At 39.1% G+C, this 25,895-nt stretch overlaps 1 protein-coding gene across 17 annotated transcripts in view, besides 2 other annotated features; it reads left to right on the plus strand.

The window, feature by feature from the left end:
- The window catches only part of IL1RAP (interleukin 1 receptor accessory protein), a 145,666-nt gene that overhangs the window by 61,716 nt on the left and 58,055 nt on the right, over positions 1-25,895 (plus strand). The window lies entirely within an intron of this gene.
- Positions 9,140-9,673: an enhancer, noted in NCBI's record as "NANOG-H3K27ac-H3K4me1 hESC enhancer chr3:190302729-190303262 (GRCh37/hg19 assembly coordinates)". NCBI's record gives its function as "activates a minimal SCP1, AML or CMV promoter by ChIP-STARR-seq in naive H9 embryonic stem cells {active_cell/tissue: H9 hESC(naive)}" and the evidence as "EXISTENCE:reporter gene assay evidence [ECO:0000049][PMID:30033119]".
- Positions 9,674-10,207: an enhancer, noted in NCBI's record as "NANOG-H3K27ac-H3K4me1 hESC enhancer chr3:190303263-190303796 (GRCh37/hg19 assembly coordinates)". NCBI's record gives its function as "activates a minimal SCP1, AML or CMV promoter by ChIP-STARR-seq in naive H9 embryonic stem cells {active_cell/tissue: H9 hESC(naive)}" and the evidence as "EXISTENCE:reporter gene assay evidence [ECO:0000049][PMID:30033119]".

Raw genomic sequence — 25,895 nt, forward strand, 5'->3', positions numbered from 1 at the left:
CTGTTTTTCCCAGTATGGCGGACAAGGTCCTCTAAACACCCCTTTTGCTGTAAAGCAGCTAGAAATGCTGCATTTAAAAATAAATGTCATTTAAAATGAATTGCTGAGTTGGTAAGAAATCCTTAGAGGCCAAAATTGAAGTGAAAACAGGAATCCAGAAAAGAAAGGAAGCCAGCTCTGCAGCTGGCGGCTACCCAGGGTAACATCCAGAGTCAGAGGAAGGAGATATATTTAAATGCGAGGACATTTGGATAATTTTTAGAAAAAAAAAATAGTTAAATTCCTACCTTGTACTTTACCTCAAAACAAATCGCAGTTGAATTAAATATTTAAATGTAAAAAACCCTAAGAGTAGTAGAAAAAATACATGCAAATATTTATTATAATGTTGGGATGGATACATTTGTAGATATGTCATCAAAGGTAAGGGTCAGCAAAGAAAGTCTGACATAATTGACTACATAAAGATTTTAAAAATTAGTATAGCACAGAATATTGTAAGTTAAAGGACAAATGAAAAATTGGGAAAACATATGGCAAAGGGTTAATGTCATCAGAATGCAAGGAGCTATTATATATATATACACACACACACACGCACATTTTAATGGAAAAATTGGCAAAGATTTGAAACTAGCAGTTCAGGCAGTCAAAAACAGATCAACACAAATTGATCAGTCTAAAAAGAAGCTCAAGTTAACGAGTGACAAAATAGATTCAAACTAAACCAACATGCGATGCCATTTTTTTTCACTCATCAGTCTGGCAGAGATTAAAGAACAATCCAGCCTAGCATTGGTCAGGATATGGTGATCTAATAACCAGGTATGCTGGTCTCTCACACACAGTGGTTGAGAGCTCACCTGGAATAGGCTTTGTGGAGGGGACCTGGGCTATTTGTTTCAAAGATACCACCAAAATGCCTCCCTTTAATCTTGTAATGAACCATACATGCTATATTCTAAGAAAATACTCGGAGAAATGCATCAAGACATGCTCAAAAACTATATTTTTCATAGGATTGTTACAATGGCCGGGCGCGGTGGCTCACGCCTGTAATCCCAGCACTTTGGGAGGCTGAGGTGGGCGGATCACGAGGTCAGGAGATCGAGAGCACGGTGAAACCCCGTCTCTACTAAAAATACAAAAAATTAGCCGGGCGCGGTGGCGGGCGCCTGTAGTCCCAGCTACTCGGGAGGCTGAGGCAGGAGAATGGCGTGAACCCGGGAGGCGGAGCTTGCAGGGAGCCGAGATCGCGCCACCGCACTCCCGCCTGGGCGACAGAGCGAGACTCCGTCTCAAAAAAAAAAAAAAAAAAAAAGGATTGTTACAATAAGTAACATTGGAAACAATATAAATATTCATGATAAAGGGAGCTTAAATCTATATATATATGTGTATATCAATACAATGGAATATGATGGATTCATTTATGGTAGATGTTTCTGTATAAAAACAAATACCATATAGCAGAACTAGTGTGAAACCTTTACCAACTGTGGCAGTTGTTTGCCGGAGCTAGGTGGTATGGGCTTGTAAGAACCAACTATTCAATTTTTAGGAAGCTTTTGAGTCATTTGTCAAATTAGTCATTTGAAGTTGGCTTTGGTAAGAGTTTTTACCACATGAAAATTGGTAAACCGATGCTAGAAATTAGCTTTGTCATCATCAACCCCCGGCTGTTTACCAGCACGCCACTCTGGTCATGCATGTGTAAGCATGTGGAAAACCTTTCTGGCAGAAGATACATGCCTTTTCTTTCCCCCCTGCAGGATCTTGCTCTGTTACCTAGGCTAGAGTGCTCACTGCAGCCTCAAATTCCTGTGCTCAAGAGGTTCTCTTGCCTCAGCCTTCCAAGTAGCTGGGACTATAGGGGCATGCCACCAGGCTCAGCTAATTTTTTAATTTTTTTGTGGAGATGGGGTCTCGCTATGTTGCCCAGGTTGGTCTTGAATTCCTGGCCTCAGGAGATCCTCCTGAGTGATCTTCTTGTGTTGGCCTACCAAAGTACTGGGATTACAGGTGTGAGCCACCATGTCCAGCCTACACCCAACCCTTAACAGTGATTATCTTTGAAAAGTGGAATTATGTTTGGGTTTATTTCTGCCCCTTTTAAAATAACTTTATTTTCTGTTACTACATTAATTCATTTAGGATTATGGCCTCCAACTGCATCGGTGTTTCTGCAAAGGGAGCTAAGCATTGGGCACACATGGGCATAAACATGGGAACAATAGACTCTGCAGAGAACTACCAGAGGGAGGTGGGAGGAGGACACAGGTTGAAAAACTACCTATCGGGTATCTATACCCCAAACTTCAGCATTATGCAATATTCCCATGTTACTAACCTGCGTATGTACCCCCATATCTAAAATGAAAGTTGAAATGAAAAATAATTCAAAAATGAAATTACTTATTGTCTGACTGTATTTCAATCTAATTAAATTTATAATTGGAAGTAAAGGGTAACTTAATTTTTAGAAGTAAGAAAGTATATAGATCTGAGCTGTTGTATTCCTCGGGATGGCAAGCAAGAGGCAATTGTGACAGGTATGATAGTTTAAGCCTTGGCTCTTTGTTTCTGTCTGTAAATTGGTATGTTAATAACTTCTCTAGCACAGAGGTAACTTCAATATTCATGAAATGACCTCAGTAGAATACTAAATTAGAAACTTTGTAATGGAAAATAGATATTACCATAGATTTTCCTGCATTATAACCATGGCTTGTGTTTGTGTATTTGTTAGCATGTTGTGTCAAGAAAATAAGCATTAGCTACCCAAATACTTGGAATTTGAAATTAGCAACTCCCCACTTTCCTCCATCAGTCTACTAATATTGGATACTGTATTAGTCTGTTCCCAAGTTGCTAATAAAGACATACCCAAGACTGGGTCATTTATAAAGCAAGAGAGGTTTAATGAACTCACAGCTCCACATGGTTGGGGAGGCCTCAAAATCATGGAGGAAGGTAGAAAAGGAGGAGCAAAGGCATGTCCTACATGGCAGCAGGCCAGAGAGCGTGTGCAGGGGAACTGCCCTTTATAAAACCATCAGATCTCATGAGACTATCATGACAACAGCATGGGAAAAACCCGCACCTGTGATTCAATTACCTCACACTAGGTCCCTCCCATGGTATGTGGGGAGTATGGGAGCTACAATTCAAGATGATATTTGGGTGGGGACACAGCCAAACCATATCAGATACTTAGCCCTAAACCTATCTATACACCCTGATTCTTACCAACTTTATCTACTCATTTAAACATATCTCTTTGTTACAGGCAGCTTTCTGTTTTGTTTGTTTTTGGTTTTGTTTTTAAAAGCTCAGTACTACAGAACATAGTAAGCTAGTTATCAACATTTCCGTATCTGTAGGCATGGTTATGCATGTGTTAAATTAATACTTCTTCCTTCAACCATCAGCCTTTCTTCATTTCTCTATGCAATAAACATATGTTGTATTGGGCTTACACTGTGTGCTAGATACAGTTCACATTATCATTATATTCACTAACCATTACAGGGATGAATGATATCATACAGTATTTACAGTATTAAAATGGTTATATTATTTGATCTTAGAATAGCATTGTAAAATATATTATTATTGTCACTTCACAAATAAGGAAATAGAGGCCCGGAGAGATTAGGTGGTTTAGACGTAGTTTTGCATATAGGAAGTAGAACCAGGACTCAAGGTTTTGTCCTCTGTTCCCAAGCCCATTATTCTTTTTCCTGGCAGACCCAAGGGATTCCTACCTTTTTATTACTGAGGACATCTTTTATTTTATATTTTTTCTAAAGATTCCTTTTATTGCAAGCAATAAAACCAGACACATTAGTCGTGCTGCCATCACAACAATCTAATTTTAGAACATTTCATCACCCCAAAACGAAGCCCTGAGGATTAGCAGCCAATCCACAACCCATTCTCCCCCACCCAAGCCCTAGGCAACCAGTAGTCTACTTCCTGTCTCTATAGATTTGCCTATTCCGGATATTTCATACAAGTGGGATGATATTATATGTGGCATATTGTGATTGATTTAGTTTTCACTTAATGCAATGTTTTCAAGGTACAGCTATGATATAGCATGTATCACTACATCATTTTTTAGTGATGAATAATATTCATCATTGAATCATAATTGAGAAATATTCTTCATCCCTGATGCACCTGTGTGTGATTTCCAAATTTTGACTATCATGAATAATGCTACTATGAACATATGTGTACAAGTTTTTGTGTGGACATATGTTTTCATTTTTCTTGGGTATATAGCTGTAAGTTGAATTACTGGATCAAGGTAACTCTATGCTTAACATTTTGAAGAACTGCCAACTACGTTCCAACGTAACTGTGCCATTGTAAATGTCTTTTTGAAGTATTTTGAAGTATATACCTATTTGAGGTATTTGCACTCTCATATTCAACTGAGAACATCTCCTGTGAGTATCTCATGTTCAACTGATTTCAGCTCTTGTGTATCTCGTGTTCAACTCTTATGCTCAACTGATTTCAACTCCAATGAATATCTACCAAGAAGTGGGACTGCTGGATGAAATGCTACTCTCATTTTTAATTATTTGGCAAAACTTCCATAGTGTTTTTCCAGAATGGATAAAGAGAATGCATTATATCATACAATTGAGTGTCAGTCAGCCCTAAGAAAGGAGGAAATCCTGCCATATGCATAGACCTGGAGGACATTATGCTAAGTTAAATAAGCCAGGCACAGAAGGACAGACACTACATGATGCTATTTACATGAGGAATCTAAAATAGTCAAACTCATAGAAGCTGGGAGTAGAATGGTGGTTGCCAGAGGCTGAGAAGGGGGAGAAATGGAGAGGTGTTAATCAAAGGGTGCAAAGTTTCAGTTACGCAAGGTAAGTCCTAGAAATCTACTCTACAGCTTAGTGCCTATGGTTAACAATTCTGTATTGTATACTTAAGAACTCGCTAGGAAATTAAATGTTACATAAAGTGTTCTTATCACTAAAATAATTAATACATAAATGAATACATAAATAGGGCAGGAGGAAACTTTTAGAGGTTATGTGTATGTTTATGGCATAGATTGTGATGATGGTTTCTTGCCCGTGTATATATCTCCAAACTCCTCACTTTAGGCACATCAAATATATACAGCTTTCTGTATGTCAATCATACCTCAGTAAAGTGGTTTTTAAAAAAGAAACAGCAGAAGAGGTCATTGTGAATTCAGAGGTCTTCAGAGGACTCAGCCCTTTAATCTCTGATTCAGTAAAGTGGCATTCGAGTGTTTCCTTTTTTGTTAGTGTAACAAATATAAATCTCAGTGCTATGGGAGCTCAGAAAGTGTTCTGGATCAGAACATGCCCTGGGTAATTCACAGTGTATAAGGCAGAGAAGAAAAACCTGGACTCAAGTCAAATCCTGGTTTCCGTATGACTCTCAGTGTCCTTATCTATAAAATGAAGCTGATAGTATCAGCCCTGCATACCCCACAGAGCTGTTTTGGAGATCCAGTGAGAGAATGAATCTAAAGTTTTCTGTAACCAGTAAAAGCAAATCAGGAAGCAGAAGCTCAGTCAAATGAGCCTAGAAACCACACACTTGGCAGGTAGGTAAGCACCAGTTGGTGCTCTGTATTATGAGATTAGGACTGAGACCTTTTACATTCGAAGCTGGGTGCTTGCCGACAAGAATCCGTATTTCCAAATGTGAGCAAACCCTTGCCCAGCAGAGTTTTCACAAAATCCAGATGTTGAGTTTTGTGTCAATTGTTTAAGAATTCAAAAGCAGATAGTAGCATATTTTTCAAAATCAGTTGCTTGACAACCAGTTTATGGTCCTATGATTCTCTGCCACCTTCCCTGGTTTTGACGACTCTAAATCAGTTGAAACTTGTATTATTTTTCTATTGTATTTTTCAATATATTTGCCAAAGAATATGGGAAAAGAAACTTTATTCATTCAACAGCCATTGTTTGAGGTATTTCCATGAGCCAGGTATTTGATAGGCATTAGGATATGGTGAAGAACAAATAGTCCCTGTTCCTTTCTTCATGCTCGTTTGTGTCTCATATGTCTAACTGTTTCAGGGTCCCTGCTATTCACCGTGACTCACAGATGGCACCAATACTGTGTTTTAAAAATGAAAAGCAAAGTGGAGGTCAAAGTTAGGTTCTAAAAAAAATAAAAATGAGGAATAACATAAGGAGGATAAAAGATGTTGAGGCTGCAGTTCAGTTCTGTTGCTAATTTACTGGGTGATTTGGGCAAGCTACTTAACCTCTCAGAATCTGTTTCCACATCTGTTAATTTGCTTAGTTCTTGACTCTAACAAGCTAGCATTCTGTAGTTTGAGATTTAAGAGCCTCTGAAACAAGTTTCCTTTCTATTTCTTTACATTTTTGATCAATCCATCTTTGCTCATTTTCCATGTGGCTCTTATCTGCTCCTCTCCATCTTAAGTATTATCCTAGTCCAAGCCACATCATCTCATTCTTGAACTTTTCTTTTCTTTTTTTTTTTTTTCATTTGAGATGGAGTTTCACTGTTTTTGCCCAGGCTGGAGTTCAGTGGCACGATCTCGGCTCACTGCAACCTCCACCTCCCGGGATCAAGTAAGTCTCCTGCCTCAGCCTCACACATGGCTGGGATTACACGCGTGCGCCACCACCCAGGCTAATTTTGTATTTTTAGTAGAGATAAGGTTTCACCATGTTGGTCAGGCTGGTCTCAAACTCCTGACCTCAGGTGATCCACCCGCCTCGGCCTCCCAAAGTGCTGGGATTATAGGCTGAGCCACCCTGCCTGGCACATTCTTAAATTTTTCTGCAGTAGCCTCATAATTAGCTGTTTCTCCTTCACTTTTACTCTCTACAGTCCATTCTTCACACAGTAACCAGTGTTACCTATTTCAAATTGTAAATTAAATCAGGTGTCTCCTCTGTGGAAAACCCTGGAATATGTCCCATTATTCTTAGAATTAAATTTAAGTTCCTTACAGCGGCCTATATGCTCTTATATGTTCAAATTCCTACCTGTTGCTTCAGCTTCTTCATATTCCACTGTTTTCCTTGCCCCTGGCAGTGAAGTTTTCTGAGATTCTTCAGGAACTTCACATGTACTATTCCCTTTCTCACCTAAGTTCTTCCTTCACACACTCTCCTCTCAACTTTGTCCCTCACATCTTCATTCTATTTCACTCAGCTCAAAAGTCCATTTCTCAGGGAACATCCCATCTCCTGCCCTAATCAGCGACCTCTCAGGCTAAGTAAGATCCCTGTTAATATATCCACTTTATACGCTGTACGTCTTTTTCATGATAATCACTCCAATAGCAATTGTTGTTAATTGGGTAATTATTTATTTAACTACTTAATTAATGTCTGTGACCTTCTCTAGAATGAAAGCTCCATGACAACAGGCAGATTTATTTGCCTCTGTATGTTTTATGTGTAGCAAAGCCTTTGCAGTTAGTAGGTGCTCAGTAAATACTCAGCGAATGAATGAAAGGATATAATAAATAGGTAACACTTAATTCTTTAAATCAGCTATGAGATTATTTTGTATGAGATAACAAGGTATATATGCCAGAGAGTTCTGAAGAAGCATAGACGTTTCTTTCTATGTAGTTACTGATCTCTGTTTTTACTGTGAGTGCAAACAATACTCATGCCACCCCATTAGAAACAAATATCCACCAAACTCTGTGTGCTGGGCACTAAGCTGGATGAGCAGGACTAAAGCTCTCTCTTTGAGCTCACAATCTAGCAGCAAATTAGCCTCAAATAACAGTTACGCAAGGTACGAAGTGGTTAGTATCATAAGAGAGGTTCAGAGAAACAGCTATGGTGGTTTCAAACTGAGAGAAATTGCTTCAAACTGAGAGCAGCCATCTATATATCCAGAGGTGTAGTGTTCAATTTAGGCCTTAAAAAATTTGTGTGATGTGACTACTTGGAGATAGGTGAGAAATGGCAATGAAGAATGGAGCTATGATTAAATAATTGCCTCTGCCCGGTTGTTACAAGTAAAGCCAAGTCTCTAAACAAGAGGCAGGAACTTAACCTTTTAAAATTTATTTTTATTTTTATTCACTCTTATTTACATATGGTCAAATTGAGTTTTTTGGTGTAAGAAGTCTGTGAATTTTGACAAATGCATACAACCATGTAAAAACCACCACAGTTTAGGTACAGAAAGTCCCATTATCCTCCCAAATTTCTCTCATGCTGCCACTGTGCCGTCCCCCCACACCCAGTCACTAGCAACCACTGATCGTTTTCTGCTCCTATAATTCTGCCTTTTCCAGAATATCAGATAGATAGAATTGTACTGGTCTGGCTTCCTTCACTTAGCATAACACATTTGAGGTACATCCATATTATCATATGTTTGAGAAGTCCATTCCTTGTTACCAAGTAACATTCCATTGTATGGATATACCACTGTTGTTTATTCATTCATTAGTTGTAGGATATGTGATTGCTTCAAGTTTTTGGCTATTATGATTAAGGCTGCTGTAAACGTCTATATACAGGCTTTGTCTCAACACAAGTTTTTGTTACCTAGGACTGATATTGCTAGGTCATATGGTAAGGTCATTAGGTATGTTTAACCTAATAAGAGGCTGCCAAACTCTTTTCCAAAGTAGCTATACTCAATTCTGTATTCCCGTCTTCAATGAATGAGAGTCCAGCTGCTGCACATTTCATGAACACTTGCTATTTTCCATTTTTTAAAATGCTAACCATTCTAATAGTTTTACAGTAGTATCTTGTGTGATTTTTAATTTACATTTATATAATGACTAATAATTTGGACCATTTTGTCATATGTATATCTCCTTTGGTGAAGTGTCTGTTAAAATATTTTGTCCCTTTTTAATTAAGTTCCTGATATTTTTCTTTGACTTTTGAGAGTTCTCTATATATTCTGAAAATGAGTTCTTCATTGAATAGCTGATTTGTGGCTTGTCTTTGCTAACCTTTAATTTTCTTGTTATTTTAAAAATCTTGCTCCCAGGCCCATCACTGGATCTCCTATAGTCTCTTAGGTCTACTCAGTATGTTTATAGAACTTCTAGGTTTTTTCAGACACAGTGGGGATCTAGGAAGATGAAAATGACCATTGCCCTGTTAACAAGGAGCTTTTGAGTAGCTGGAAAGAGAATTCAGGTATCCAAATATTTATAACCCACGAAATAATGTCCCGAGTGCCATAGGGATGTATAGATGGTGTGCTATACTGCAGAGTGTTGTCACTCATTGAGGTTTCTGGTTACTAAAATACTTTGAGGCCCCGAAGAGAGAAACAATAAAGACTGTGGATGATTACATCCTACAAACTGTAACAAAGTGGCTTCCCTCTTTACAGCCTCATGTATTATCTTTGATGATGATGGGCATTAGGGGATGAAAAAGGGGCCGTGCCAGGCAATGCAGTCTTTCTCAACTTGATCAGTCACAGTGCCCACTCTAACCATTGTCAAGCAAAAGGACCACATCAGAAGCCATTAGCCTCACTGCATCTCCCCACCCCCTCAGCCCGTTTGCTGTAATTGTCCCATTTGACTTCGTTTAATAACAAATGGGTAAAGAAATTCCATGCTTGACACATGTGGAGTTGCATGTGTGTGTGACCCATCAGACAGCTTCAGGGCACAAGTATACTGCCCAGCCTATCTTTTGCTTCTGCTCATACTAATCATTAACATGTGTCACTTTAGGCTGGGCATGGTGGCTCACGCCTGCAATCCTAACACTTTGGGAGGCCGAGGCGGGTGGATTGCCTGACCTCAGGAGTTTGAGACCAGCCTGGGCAACAGGGTGAAACCCTGTCTCTACTAAAATACAAAAAATTAGCCGGGCATGGTGGTGTGTGCCTGCAGTCCCAGCTACTTGGGAGGGTGAGGTAGGAGAATTGCTTGAACCCGGGAGGCTGAGGTTGCAGTGAGCCAAGATTGCATCACTGCACTCCAGCCTGGGTGACAGAGTGAGACTCCAACTCCAAAAAAAAAGAAAAAAAGAAAAAAAAGTCACTTTATTCATTAAGTACCATTAGTGACTCTCAGTTGCTACAAGGATAAAGTTTGTTCTTACCCTGATTGACCCTAGTCTCATTGACCCTTTACCATTCTCATGCTTTGTGAAATCATCCCACACCCTGTGATCTAACCCCGGCTGACTCATGGACTAACTCATCATGGCTCACATCAGCCTGGACTCCTCCCCTTGGAGGAGGAGTCAGTGCACATTCTATGCATTTTTTCCAGACTTAAATCAGATGCCATCTCTTCTGTGAAGGCACCGATGAGTGTCACCCATCTTGAAGTCCGAATTAAAAGTGCCTTCTGCCCTCCTATGACACGTTGCATCTTTATTTTTTCCTTTTAGCATTTGCTTCATTTTGCTTTGTGTTGTGGTTGTTTGCCTGACTCTCCACCCAGTCTTGACAGTGAGATCTTTGAGAGCACAGTCTATATCTTCCTTGTATCTTTATCCCTCGTTGGAGCCTAACATAAACTGTTGCATGTGGTAAGTTTTCACTGAGGGTTTATTGATTGAAGGACATGCCATAAGCCACAGTTCACCTTGCTTTGTGACCCAGACAGAAGAGGTGTCTCAGTGGCTGATAGTTGTAACTGGAGGTGACAGGGGGCTCTGATGTGTTCTAAGCAAAGACAGCCCTGTTTCCCTATTGGCCGTGATTATGCCCTCCTATCTAGAATAGGAAAAGGGTGATTTGATTTTGAGCAATAAGCAACCTGACTCTAATTGTCTACCTTAAATGCCTTCCATTGTTCTGCTTAAGGTGATTTTCTACCAGCATGAAATGTTCTCCTTCCCAGACAGTTGATGGAGGAGCTGAGTCATGCCTGACTATACTTAATAAGACAGAGGCAGCTAATGCCCCAGGGAGCTGCCTTCGAGGACAGCTTGACATTTCTGACTCCTCTGCTTTTTAAAAGTGGGTGTTGTGAGGGAAAGTTAAGCATGAAGGTAGCTTCGGAGTCTCCACTGGAAACAGGACTATATAGTGACACTCTCTAATTTAGACAGATGTGATCTACCCCGCTGCCTCTTGGCTGTGATATGTGCCTTCCGATGCTGGGAGGTGCTAATCAAGGATGTCATGTTTTTCATGAAAGAGTCTCACTTGCTTACTCACTTTGTTCTACTTTCTATTAATGAGTGCCCACCCACTTCCGTTCTTTTCTCTGAAAAACTGGCTTGATTTATATTTTTCAGAGTCAGGCTAGAAAATACTCTTGAAGTTAGCATGGATTATAAACCCATCATATTATAGAGATGGACAGGGTTACAGATCATCTGGTTTTACCTTCTTATACGTGATAAAACTGAATCCCAAAGCAGGAAAGTGACTTGGTCACAGTCAGCATTAAATTTCAGACTCTAGAGAGTGACAGATCTGCGTTAGAATCCCCGTCTCCTACTGACTTGCTGTGTAATTGTGTGGGTATCTTTTAACTTATCTATGCTTCATGCTCGTCATTTGTTAAATGAGGGCCATAATAAAGCTATCTGAAAGAGGCATTATGAAGAGTGAAAATGATAATAAATGTAAAACACTTAATACCTGGCGTATAGAAAACACTCACAATTAAGTGAATGGTACTGGTAGTTCCTATGGTGGTGGCAGTTTTATAATGGTGGTCACACTGGCAGAATTAGGACAAGAAACCAGGTCTTCTGACCCTATGTCTTTGTTCTCCATAGGGTATACTACAAGATGTATCTCAGGAACTATATTTAGCTATGAGGAAGTTTAAAGTGATCTGTCTGAAGATGAATTCCTATATTCAAAGAAAGGATCAGTAGCGAGTTTGCTGTAGCACAGAAGGAAAAGAAAACATGGTTTGAGATGTTTGTCAACATGAAGAATCAAATTGGGCGGAGTGTTTGAGGGAAGAAATTATATGTAAAATCTCCAAAATAAAAACCAAGGGGCTGAGTAAGACCTGAGAACCTGAGGTCAGTGGATAGAGGACTGACTCTGGAATCAGAAAAACTGCTGCCCAATAGCTCTGTGAGCTTCCCAATTCACTCTCTGAACCTCTCTTTCAAACCCCAAAATGGGGCAATATCCTCTATATCTGGGATCAAAGGATATAATATGTCTAAAACTTCCATCTAAACTATACATTACTATGGATTATGTCAACAATGTTGGATTTGCAGTCTTTGGTGGGATGTGGTGGAAGAAATAAGGCAATGATTTCTAAGTGATGCATTTGAAACATTTTCCTACCTCAAAGCATACGGAGATAAAAAGGTCTCTTACATCTTTTTTTCTTTCTTTCTTTTTTTGAGATGGCATCTCACTCTGTTGCCAGGCTGGAGTGCAGTGGTGCAATCTCAGCTCACTGCAACCTCTGCCTCCTGGGTTCAAGCGATTCTCCTGCCTCAGCCTCCTGAGTAGCTGGGACTACAGGCATGCGCCACCACGCCCAGCTAATTTTTGTATTTTTAGTAGAGATGGAGTTTCACCATGTTGGCCAGGTTGGTCTTGATCTCTTGACCTCGTGATCCGCCCGCCTGGGCCTCCCAAAGTGCTGGGATTACAGGCGTGAGCCACCATGCCCGGCCTACATCTTTCTAAGCAACCATCTTCATTATTCATTTTCCACTAGGCAGGGAATCACATGCAGCATTGGGAGTCCAAAAGTCCTCAGGGATGAGTGTCTTGGACTTGACAGTGTTGTCCTGGAATATATACCTGGACACACATGCACACACACACAAGATGTTTGTGTGTGTAGTTGTAGTTGTACCATGCAGTTCCTAAAAGCCCTCTTCAAATGACTGTGAGTTATTTTCCTGGTCTTTCATCTATTTTTCTAAATTTGATTTTTCTAGAATGTTTGTTTTCTTCACATATGAAAAGTACATTCTCTTGTTTTGCTTCCTTTGTTCTAGATTTTAGAGAAGTTGGTTTGTAGTTTTCTCTTTCCCAATAAACGTATGAGGCAAATGTTCTCAACCTTAGCACTATAGTAAGTCAATAAGCTCAACATAAAAGTACGTATAAAAATTTAACCCCTGACATACCAAGAGAAAAGAGAAACAAAGATTGATATAAGTCCAGTATAAACTCTTATTTTTGCAGTTGGTTTTATATGCAGAAGTAATGTTCATGATATGGTTATCAGAGAGACTTTTATCCTGCCTCTGCTACTAACCCAGTCTTTCACCTCAGGCATTCCCTAGCCCCTCTGGTGTCAGAGCCTGATCTGTATAATGTGTCATGGGGCTGGATGATTTTTGAATCCACCTTCCAGCTCTAACATGCAGTGGTTTTCTAAGATGCACGGTGGATTATAGGGGACTTCAGTGTTCAGAAACTTAGACCAGGATTTTATCTTAGCATTTACTCTTCCCAAGACCCTGCTTCTTTCCTTGGGAGGAGATACTGTTCTCTAGGTGAGTGACCACTAAAAACCTAGCCACTCAGCACCCCCACCTCTTGAATTCTTCCTGTCACCCCATCATATTCACTGCCAGACATTTCTCCAAACCCCATTTCTCATGCTCTCAGCTTTTGTTGCTTGCTTCACCCAATTTTCTCTCAGAATCTTTTGTTTTCTGCTTGTCACTACCAGCCATCAAGAAAAATCTACACGCTTGACACATTATTAAGATAGAATGAGACTGCACCGGCGTTTCGCAGGTGATGCCTCTGTTAAACACAGTGGCAGGATTGTCGCCTGTGTCTCTTCCTCTGGCAGGTGATGAAGATCATAAATGTTCTTTTACTCCAGGCAGTTTCCTGAGAATTGCTGGGGAGGTTGCTGACAAGGTTTGCTAGATGCACTTTCCTTTGACTTTGTAATTTTGCGTGGAATATTGGCTGCACATCTTGAGGCGGGGAAGTTAGAAAGCTCCTAATTGAAAGTTGAAGGCCCCGATGTACTTTTATGGAATGAGTCTCTCTGAGCCCCCAACTGGGAAGTGTAAGACATGGTGTTGAAAGGTACAGAGACCCATTAAATACATGATGGGCTTTAAATTCCAATCATGCTGTTGAGTGGAAAGGTGTTCACTGACGTATCCTTGGTAATTAAGAAGAGAGTTCATGCTCAGACTGCCTTCTGCATTTTACCACTCAAATCCAAGCTTTGAGTTTCCTGCCCTTGGCTCTGGTAAAAGGCAATAAAAACTCAAAATCAAACACACATAATAATTCCTTTCTCTGCTGATTCTCTTTCCAGATCTCAATTTTCTCATCTGTAATAATCCACATCATGATAGCTAAAACATATTCATATTAAGTTCTTACTGTGTCAGAGTCCATGTGGCATTTTCGTGTATCATCTTATTTACCGCTAACAACAGCTCTATGGGATTGGCACTGATTAACTTCATATTTTGTGACATATATTTGTGACATGTACTGTTACCTATGTGGCAACTGTGGACAGGATTCTTCTTCTTCTTTTTTTTTTTTTGGTGAGACGGAGTCTTGCTCTGTTGCCCAGGCTGGAGCGCAGTGGCACCATCTTGGCTCACTGCAACCTCTACCTCCCGGGTTCAAGCAATTCTCCTGCCTCACCCTCCCAAGTAGCTGGGACTACAGGTGCCCACCACATTCCCGGCTAATTTTTTGTATTTTAGTAGAGATGGGGTTTCACCATATTGCCCAAGCCGGTCGCGAACTCCTGAGCTCTGGCAATCTGCCCGCCTCGGCCTCCCAAAATGCTGGGATTACAAGGTGTGAGCCACCGTGCCTGGCCAGGATTCTTCTTTCCAGGTGCCACACTTATGGGCAGCGATGCCATTTAGCTTGTTTTCAGCCTCAAGGACAAACCCACATATCAGCTTTTTCACTTGTAAAATGGGAAGGGTGAAAATAGTAATTTTATGACTTGACCATATAGAACACATGCAGCGTTATCTTTTTTGGCTCAGTATTAACGTTGTCTGTTCCAGTCTTCCTGGGTTTGATTCTTAGCCTGCTTCATCCTCTGTTTTGAAGAGGAGTGTACTGTTGTACTATTTACATTCAAAGTGCCAAGTGGGAATGTCTGTGCAGATATTTATTTGGAATATATATTTCACTGGGACAATGTAGTAGAACACAGAATTTGGATTGGAGAGGAATGATTTTATACTTGCTACAAGTAAACTCTTGTGTTACTCAAGTTATCTTTCTGGGTATAGTTTGTAAAATCTTCTCATTTGCAGAATGAGAAGAATTTTTTAAAATGTTGTAAAATCTCCCTTGTCGTCCAACACTCTCAGACACTTTGTCACAGGTGAATCTCCAGAGCTTAAACATCAACAACATTTGTTGAGCACAATTCAGTTTGAAATGGGCTATACTCAGTTTGAAAGTGAAAAAGAGAGAAATATAATCATAACAACAGCAAAGATTATGTGACCAGCTCTCCGCTAAACACATTACCAGTGTTGCCTCATTTAATCTTCAAACCAGTTTTTGTTTACACATGGGAATATTTAATTTATTTGCACATAGTCACGTGGATAGGAAGTGGCAGAACGAGGTTTAGAACGGGGTTGTTGGAGACTTACCATTGCATACTCCCTAGGGAAAGCAGTTGTTTTGGGACATTAGAGCCCTGGTTTGGCCCCTCCCCACCACTATCATATATTGTTTACCCATCTCTCAGACGTGTTTTTTGTCCTCTCTCGACTGCATTCACTTCATGTATGGAATGGGGGTATTTTCAGCTATCTTACTGGAATTCAGGGCTGCAACTAGACCTGAGGCCTGTATTTTCTGGGACTCTAATGATAACATGTGAAATAACTTTATTTCATGCGCTGTCAGTCTTGAATGGAAATTTCAACACAGAGACTGTATATTTTCTAGATATTCTTCATAGCCCCTAGCACTCACAGGATCCTGAATAAATATTATCTAATAATAAGAATAAAGAGAGCAAAAGCTGTTTGATTATTATATTAAAATAATCATTGAATTTTTACATCTTAATCATGGATTAGAAAAGATAGCTTGGAGGGAAAAAAACCCCCACAAAAACAAGCTAATGACTGCTTAGCGTTTCTCCAGTGTACTGTGTCACACTTGACACAGCCTGTTTATTTATTGTCACAACAGCCCTGCAAAAAAAATCATTCCCTTCAGCAGCATGAGGTTGCTCATTACAGTAATTTTTTTTAAAGAAAACCATGAACCATGGTACAGAAGAAGCATACTCAGAATTCGTTCTTTTGGTTTGTTTGTTTGTTTTGAGATGGAATCTCGCTCTGTCTCCCAGGCTGGAGTGCAGTGGTGCGATCTCGGCTCACTGAAACATCTGCCTCCCGGGGTCAAGTGATTCTCTTACCTCAGCTTCCCAAGTAGCTGGAATTACAGGCACGCGCCACCACACCCAGCTAATGTTTCTATTTTTAGTAGAGACAGGGTTTCGCCATGTTGGCCAGACTGGTCTCGAACTCGACCTCAGGTGATCTGTCCTGCCTTGGCCCAGAATTCATTATGTGGGCTTCTATCCCCTGGTGCCACTTTGATGAGAGAAGCAGAGCTTGTTACAGGTGGCTATTAGATGATGTTACTGTATTACCTTCCTTATTCTGCACAACAGCAGGAAGGGTGGCTGCTGGAACCTTCTGGGACATAAACACATGATAATTCAGGGTCTTTTTGCTGGTAATCCAAAACCCAGTTATGAAATGATTTGAGATATGGAAACAGCCTGGAGACCTTCAGCAGCTTCGTTAGACCAGGAAGCTTTAAAATTATCTAGAAAACCCAGGGTTTTTATTCAGGTGCTCTCCCACAAGGAAAACTTTGTAGAAAGTGACGCTTGTATTTACAAACTAAGAGTGAAACTCCAGCATGGCAGATACTGACTGCAAACTGCTCGGAGGTGCTAAAATATTCATCCTTTAATAATGCTAGACTCTGAAAGACCCCAGCTCTTTTAGATTTGATTTTATAACTCTAAGTATTGCCTATTATAATTCTGAATTTAAACTTCGTAGGATTGGTTGTTTTCATCCGTCAGGGTTCACTTTCCTTTCTTACCTCTTTCTTTTCTTCTTTTTTCCTTTGTTCAGGTTTACTTTGTAATGATTTGTCCATACTTTTTATTTTTTAACTGGATGGAACTGCCACTTCAAATTGATATGAAATGACAGTCTTTAGGGCAGTGTAAATACCTGGTGCCATAAACAGGAGTAGTACACTATTCGGAATAAAAATTATTCTAGGAGCAAACTCTAATGAAACTGAAACCGTGGCTTGTGGATTTCTCCCTCACCAAACCCTTTTTTTTTTTGAATTTGGCATTCTTTCCTAATCTGACAAATGTTATCATCCCTTGTATCTGTCAGAGCTATTTTCCATTTTTTTTTCAAATTATTCAATCAAGAAAACTTCCTTTTGTTGGTGGGAGTAAGGTATGTCTAATTATCTGGTCCTGGAAAGCAGCCATCTGCCCAGTGATGAACACGGGTTTGTATGCAGTGCCAGCAACATGAGGATGCGTGATGGATGCTCACAGACACTCCAGCTCTCCCTCCTCCACTCCTGACTTCTTGCTCTCCTCTTGATGACTTAGTCAGTGAATGTGAATTTTCAGAAACATTTTCTAGACTTTGTTTGGGTAGCTCTACCCTGAATAAACATATCTAAGTTTTAATATTGTGTTAGTTTTCTCTCATACTGCTAATAAAGACATAACTGAGACTGGGCAATTTATAAAGGAAAGAGGTTTAGTTGACTCCAGTTCCACATGGCTAGGGAGCCCTCACAATCATGGCAGAAGGCAAATGAGGAGCAAAGTCACGTCTTACATGTCAGCAGGCAAGAGAGACTGTGTGCAGGGGTACTCTCCTTTATAAAACCGTCAGATCTCGTGAGACGTATTCATATTATGAGAACAGCACAGGAAAGACCCACCCCCATGATTCAATTACCTCCCACCATGTCCCTCCCACGACATTTGGGAATTATGGGAGCTACAATTCAAGATGAGATTTGGGTGGGGACACAGTCAAACCATATCAAATATCTTCCACTATAATATAAATTATACTCTAGGTGAATGGTGTTTGCAGATATTTTTGGAAACCAGTGGTATATTATAGGATACTGCTAGAAAAATGTCTAGATATTTAAAATAATTTGTCATTGAGGAACAAAAAGAATATAAGTCAAAGAGACATAGACTCATAAGGTGGTTAAAATCTCAGGAATTGTTCATCTAGCCACTTATTTGAACAGAGGAAATAAAACCATTGTTATCAGTGAAGACAATGATCAGCCATAAGTAGACATGTAAAATAACAGCTGTTTAAACTAATTCCTTTCCAAGTTTAGTGAGCATAGGGATTACCTGGGGATTGTTAAAATGCAGATCGTGATTCAATACATCAGGATGGGTTCTGAAAATCTGCAGTTCTGACAAGGTGGCAAGGAATACTGATGATGCTGGTGGGTTGAGGACCAGACTCCAAGTAATGAGGATATAAAAAGCTTATTTATCACATAAAATGTAGAGGTGGAAAGTTCAGGGCTGGTAAGGCAACTCCGCAAGTTATTCAAGGTCCCACCTCCTTTCACTTTCAGATTTCACCATCTTTAGGGTGTGGTCCTCATTCTTACCGTTCATTATGTAGCGCCAGCTATCATATCTATCTATGTCCCACGCAGCAGGACAGAAGAAATGGGATGGTAGGAGGAGCATGGGAACCATAGGAACATGCCAGTGTCTCTCAAGGAAGATTTCTGGGATCTACCATATGACAAATTTCAAACCTTTTCTATTAGCCAGAACCTAGTCACCTGACCACATCCAGGTGAGAGGCAAGCTGGGAAATGTTACTTTTAAACTGAGTGGCTATGTGCCTAACTGAAAGTCCCCACACTCTATTGGGAAGGGGCGTGTGAGGCATGGAAATGGGGCATGTCTAGCAGTCCATGCCACAGATGCGGATGTCTGACACAAGAAGTGGTTTGCCAAAGATCACAGAAAAATTACAGTTCATAGATTAATTATAACCAGTACATGTATGGACATTCTCAGTTTATGTGTGGTGCTGTTTTATGTCATAGGCTTATTTCATTTTCATAACTATTTTACACTATTATGAGCTTCTTTTTTGGTTGTGGAAACTGAGGTTCAAAATGGTTGAGGGACTTCATTGATCATAAAGCCTACCCTTACTACTCTCTTTATAATTGCATATTCCTGTCTCTCCCTTCTCTCTCCCTCCTTCATTCCTGATTCCTCTTACCAGATTCTATATTGTTCTTTGTTCCCTTCACTCATCACCTTTCAACATTCTATATATTTTTCTTATTTAGCATGTCAATTGCTTATTGTCAGTCTCCTTGTGTTAGAAGGTGAGCTCCGTGAGACCTTTGTTTTGTTTGCCAGTGCATCCCAAGCACCCATTTAGTATTTGGCACATGACGGAATGCTCAGTACATAGTTTTTTAAATGAAGGAATAATGCCACTAGGTATCAAAGTCCGCCTTGGAATTATGTCTGTTATCTTCAACCCTAATGCTATACGCCTTCTCCATCAGGGCTTCTGCTAATGTTTTAGACTCTGGAACTCCTGTGTTTGCCTCAGAAATGTGCTCACACTTAAACATATTGATTTCCTCCTTGTCTTCGTGACATTCATTTAATGTTGCTAGCCAACTTAACCAGTTTGCTCTTACCTTCAGTTCTCTCTTTATCTCAGTCCCAGGTTAATATTTCCTGAGGACCCAAGCATACCACTAGAAAAACAAACTTTAGCAAAACTACCAAAATTAACGTCAAACCAGCGTTCCTGTTTGACTTAGTCTCTAGCCTCAGGCTTAGATAGGACTACTAGCACACGCAGATGGGACAGTTTCTAAGTGGCCTGATCCGCATTGGTTTCTAGTTTGGAATGTAAAAGGGGACTGGTTCTGGTCTCAGCCAAATCTCAAGACTCTCACCTCCACCCTCCGCCCTGTTTACAGTAATAGAATTAATATAAAATGTAGCACAATATAATATAATAGCATTTAATATTATTATGCTTCTGTTTAGAAACCTGTTATGACAATTGGTTGATTTCATTCAGTTAACTCTATTTCTATGTCTTTCTTTTGTGAAGATTGTTAATTTTCTGATGGGAATTTTCTGATACAGGTTCAGCTAATACGTACTGAGCTCGTTTTGCATGCTAGGACTTTTAACTCTCACACAGCACTGTAAGATAGGCAGGGTGTACATGCAGAGACTAGTTTAAGAGAAGCATTTTGTCCAAGGCCATATGGCAACTAAGTGGCACATGGAAAATAATTAACTATGGAAAGTAATTCCACTTTAGGTCTCCTAAAATTCAAATCTTTGCTCTTTCTTTTCTATACCTGAGTTTCCTGATTTTTTATACTTATATGTCTGTCTACCCCAGCACCTAGCATAGTGCTTTGCGCATAGCAGGTTCTCAATAAATATTTAATGAATACAAATATATGAAGAGCTTTTCTGTGGAAAATATTCTGCTTTGAATGTGTGAGGATACATTTGGGACAAACATCCTAGCTCTATAGTCAGGCAGCTTTTTTTTTTTGTGCTACCACTCAGGCAAAAGTAAGTCAATTAATCTCTCTGTCTCCGTTTCCTGGCATGTAATGTGGGAATGGGCATGAAAGCCCTAGAGTGTGTTGTGAGATTAATTAGTTAAAACGTATACCCTGCTATATAAATGCTAATTGCTGTCAGGAGCGTGGGTTGGATCTTCCAGTGACTTGGCTTTGCAAAGCTTTGCACATTTCCATTAGTCCTCTGTGCCACCAAGTCTCAGCCTTAAGAAACCCTTTTGGCTGAGAGGAATGATGACTTTGTGGTTCTCCCATGTTGAGAGGCCAATTTAGAGAGGACTTCCACTGTGGAGTAAACTGAATAAGAAGGGACATTATAAACAAAAAAGGAATTCTTGTGCTAGTAATTTGCTAAATTCCCTTTGCTGTTATTAGAGACAAATGTATTTGCATAACAGCCTTTTCCTGTCTTTTCTGAGGCTGGTGCCTGCAGTGAATCATATAATTAATTTGGTATTACATGACACTCCAGCCTGTTGCCATAGATTTTATTTTTATTTGTTCATTGAATAATATAAAAAGCTCTGACAAAATGCGCTCAGGTGGCTGTCTAGAGAACTTAAAAACTCACAGAACTAATTTCAAATGGGCAAATATCCCAAAGAAAAAGCTCAATAATAATAATGTTTATGAATGCTAATACATATATTTTCAGGCTCTGTGGTACAGGAGGCTGACTCACTTTACACACATATTCATTTGGTCCATGAAACATCATGTAAGGGAGATACATGGCAGGTATAATTATTTCCTTTCCCTTTAAAAATGTATTGAATTTAATTGAAGACATATTAAGCCGATGGATTGGGCCAGAAATCTTGGTGATTGACTTGTATTCAAATTTTAGTATGTAAGGAACAAATGCTTTTTTAAAAAGTGTCTGGTCTTGATTTATTAACTTATGTTATGAAAGGAAAATTCTACCTTCCTTTTTTTGTTAATCAAGATAGGCAGTACTAGTTGCTATCACAAATCTCAGTGACTTAAGACAATAGAGATTTATTTTTCACTCATGTCACAGCCGCTTGAAAGTCAAGTGGCATTCCTGAACAGCTCTGCTCTGAGCAGTGGCAGGAATCCAGATTCCTCCCATCCTGTGATGCTACCTTTTCAACAGTTTCTGGACTTCAGGGCCTCCATTTCAGGGAAAGAGAGCATCAGAGATTATGCTGGGGATTTCAGGCTCTACAGCATTTCTGCCCACATTTCACTGGCCAGAGGAAATTCACATGGCCCCAACCCAATTACCAAAGAGAAGTAGTTTTCACATGAGTCAAGGAGAACAGAATTAATGAGCATATAGACAGTCTCTACCATAGTCTGTTCTCGTGATCACTAAAAATCCATTTTATAATTCCTCCTAAATTGGTCTGAGTATATGCTTGCCGTTAAAATGTTATGTTAGCTCTCCTTTTTTATTTCCTCTTTCCCAATCGGCATTCTCCTACTTTACAAAAGAAAAATCTACATGTCGCTCATCATCTATCTTACTATTAATTATTGCCCAGGGCTATAAAGATTTTCAGGGTCTAACATGACACTTATTTTATTGGTGTCAGAATGTCTCCTTAATAAGGGCACTGTTAAACCCCAGCAGGCCTTCCTTTTTCTCTCCAATTTACCAATGTTTCTATTAAGAGTGAATCATGACATCAGAATATGATCTGTGGCCCAAGTTGGAGTGATCTGAATTGATACACATTGTAGAGTGGGTTATAGGAAAGATACTAATTTCCATTTAATAGTCTTTCGTCTACCATCATCTAATTGCAGTCCAAAAAGTGCAGTCTTCAGGGAGATGCTTTTGCAAAACACGTGAAGAATATCTGTAGGAAATACCAATGGCAGTGACATCTTATTTTATCTAGACAACAAACAGTATAATGAAATTGCAGACTCCATTTGCTATCCAACTGTTTTCTTCCTCTTTTTTTTTCTATATACTTTATCATTCAAAGTGAAATGACTGTCAAGCCAATACATAACAACACAATTTTTGGAAATAAAATATAAAATCAAAAATTTTTCTAACAGAAAGTAGTTATGATAAGGATGGTTTGACATAGAATGGGTTTGCCAACTGTATTACCTAGTGGATATTTTCTTCCTTCTTTCCTTTCTTCCTTTTATTCTAATTATTATTTTAATTAATTTGAAAGCAAATTATGCACAGATTTTTAAGGTCAATATATTAAAAAAAATCAAAATAATTATATACTTTCTGCCTTAACTATCCTCACTTTTACTAATTACCCTTCTCAGAGACAACAACTTGGATGTCTTATTTATCTCTTCTAATATTTCCCATCTATATTTTGCTAACCTATTTGTATACATTGTTATCTTTTGTGTAGTCAACCCAAGGCATTATCTTTTCACTTTTTTCATTATAGTAAATGAGGATAATCTCACTGAAACTGCTATCCCTTCTACCCATTCTTCTCTATATTTCATATTTGGTCGAGTCAATAATCATTTCATTAATATGTTTTCACATATTTATGAACTATAATTCTATTACGTCTCTTAGTTTTTGAAGTTATTAACTGCATTGCTTTTCATATGCTTATTTTAATTTGTATGTTTTTGTAACCATTTTTATAGCTTTCAATTGCCTTTCAGCATAATTTTTCACATTTTTCACACTGTTAATGACATCAGATAATCTGTCAGTTGTGATTATTTTTTCCCTTATTGGAGGTTTCCAATCCCTACTACCTATACTGGTTCGTTACCAAGCCCTGGTGCATAAATTTTATCCTTGGGTCTCGTTCACTGTCATTCTGAGGATCCCTTTCCTCTCTTGAATTAGAATCCCTATTCCCAATCCTAGGTTTTCTCTATTATTGTTTTATTCTCTCATTTTTGTGGCACACATCCCCCGAAGCTCCCTGATAAGGAGGACATGGTAAATAAATTGTGGAGTCTTTACGTGTCTGCATTTGTCACCTTCACACTTGATTGTTTTATTATGTTTAGGTTCTAGGTTGGAAATACTTTTCCTTCAGATGCATCGCTTCATTATCTTCTAGTTTCCAGTCTTGTGTTTGGGAGTTCCCAAACCATTCTCATTCCTAATATTTCGTAAAGTGACTTTTTTTTTTTCCTTTCCTTTCTTACTCCTTGGCAGTTTGCAGAATCCTCTCTTTCTCTGCAATTGTTTTGAAATATTTATGTGGTGTGAGTCTATTTCTATCCATTATTCTGGGGCAATTGATAGGTCCTTAGAAGGTTGTATACTTCAGTTCTCAGATTTTGTTTTTTTTCTGTGAATTATTTAATTGAGAACTTTCTTGGTATTTTGGGTTTTTTTTTTTTTTTGAAAGGTGTGGTGCAGAGAGTTCTCTTATTGAGTGATTGAGATTCCTGAAGTGGGCTTCTAACTTTCTTATCTATTTTCTATTTCTTTTTCTTTCTACTCTGCTTTTTAGGAAATCTTTAAATTTAACATCTAAAAAAAAATCTATTAAAGTTTTTTGTTTTAGTGGGCTTTTGTTCTCTGAATATTGCTTGGTTATAGCATTTGTTCCTGCTTCATGGATGAAACAGGTTCCTTATCGCTCTGAGAATGTTGATAGTATTTTTTACATGTTTACTTTTCCTTGAATAATTTGATTTTCTCCAAGTTCCTTTTACTTTTTTTTTTCTGACATTACATTTTGTGGTAGAGGTTTTTCTCAGATGATCTGCTCAGATTTAAGAAGAAGTGATTAAGAAGCTGATTGGAAATTCTAAATGTGAGTGTGAAGCCGTGATGCTCGTTAAACTTGAGCTTTTCTGTTGGATGATGTGGCTGCACAATTTTCTAAAGAGCTTCTGATAGTAAGATTGTCATATATTTCTTCTTAAACTGGCCAGATTTTCCACGGAAGATTCTTTCCTTCTCTTCTGTGGAGAGTAAATGTCTGACTGCCCTCATCCTTGGAGCTGAGTGAAGAAAACTGTTCAGTGCTAGAAGAGTGGGCTTGGAACAAAGCATGTAACTTTTTTATATAGCTGTCATTCTGTCTTCTTTCTTTTACCATTCTTCCCATATCTTCGGTTTTGAGATACCTGACTGCATGTGCCAGGATAGATTATTGATATTGGTAATAAGCAAATCCAAATCATCTCTGCCTTCAAAGAACAAAGTTGTGTGGTATGCCATCCATCAAAGTACCCAACCTAAGGGAGCCTCTGTCTCTGTGCTTTCATATTTGCCAAGGCAGAAGAAAAGGGAATTTTGTAAAATATACCCCATCCAAAACATCCACAAGTAGGACTGACTACATCTTCTTGGTCAAAGTAAGTCACATGGCCGCTCCTTACTTCAGAGGTGTGGAAATGTACAATCTTATACTCGGAGGAGAACCCATAAATAGTGGGTGAACAGCACTAATGACTCTTTATCTTGATGCTGATAATTCCTGGGTCTTTTCAGCACCCTGAACTACAGATTGGTTTGTTCTCCAGTTCTCTGCTGCTGGTTTAGGATTTGTCTTTTTAGGTGTGTTAAGTCTGTTACCACTTGTCCATGTTGGTATCACTATTGTCTTTTCTCCTACTCTTGCAGTTACTTGGGATTATGTATTAAACATTATTTTAATTTTCTTTTCTTTTCTTTTTTTGAAACAGAGTCTTGCTCTCTCACCCAGGCTGGAGTGCAGTGGCACGATCTCAGCTCACTGCAACCTCTGCCTCCCGGGTTCAAGCAAGTCTCCTGCCTCAGCTTTCCGAGCAGCTGGAATTACAGGCCTCTGCCACCATGCCTGGCTAATTTTTGTATTTTTAGTAGAGATGGAGTTTCGCCATGTTGGCCAGGCTGGTCTCGAACTCCTGACCTCAGGTGATCCGCCCCCTCGGCCTCCTAAAGTGTTGGAATTACAGGCGTGAGCCACCATGCCCAGCCAAAACTTTGGTTATACTTTTATATAAACTGAATAAGCGAACTCTGCAACTTTGCAAATATTTTCAAAGAATGTGATACTTTATAAAATACATTGTGTTACAAGTGTGCATTGATGTGAACAACACTGATTTTTCCAATTATTTCTCTGTATGTTTTTTAAAAGTTGCTTCTAACTAAAAACATAGCAACAAATAGTCATTTGTTGAGTCTTGGAAAAACTAGTTGTTAAATTTCCCCGAGCTTTATTACTTACCTGACAAATCCTTTTGCAAGTCAGAAAGCTTCAGATTCTTCACTTTTATCAAAATTAGAATAATGACAAGTGAGTTGTTTTGCCAGTTATCCACTGCTGCAAAAACGGTGCCTTGCAAAGAAGCACAAATTTAAATGACCAAACTTCATTTTATTTATT

This window comes from Homo sapiens, chromosome 3 (genome assembly GCF_000001405.40).
Source record: "Homo sapiens chromosome 3, GRCh38.p14 Primary Assembly".
In the NCBI taxonomy this organism is placed as follows: domain Eukaryota; kingdom Metazoa; phylum Chordata; class Mammalia; order Primates; family Hominidae; genus Homo; species Homo sapiens.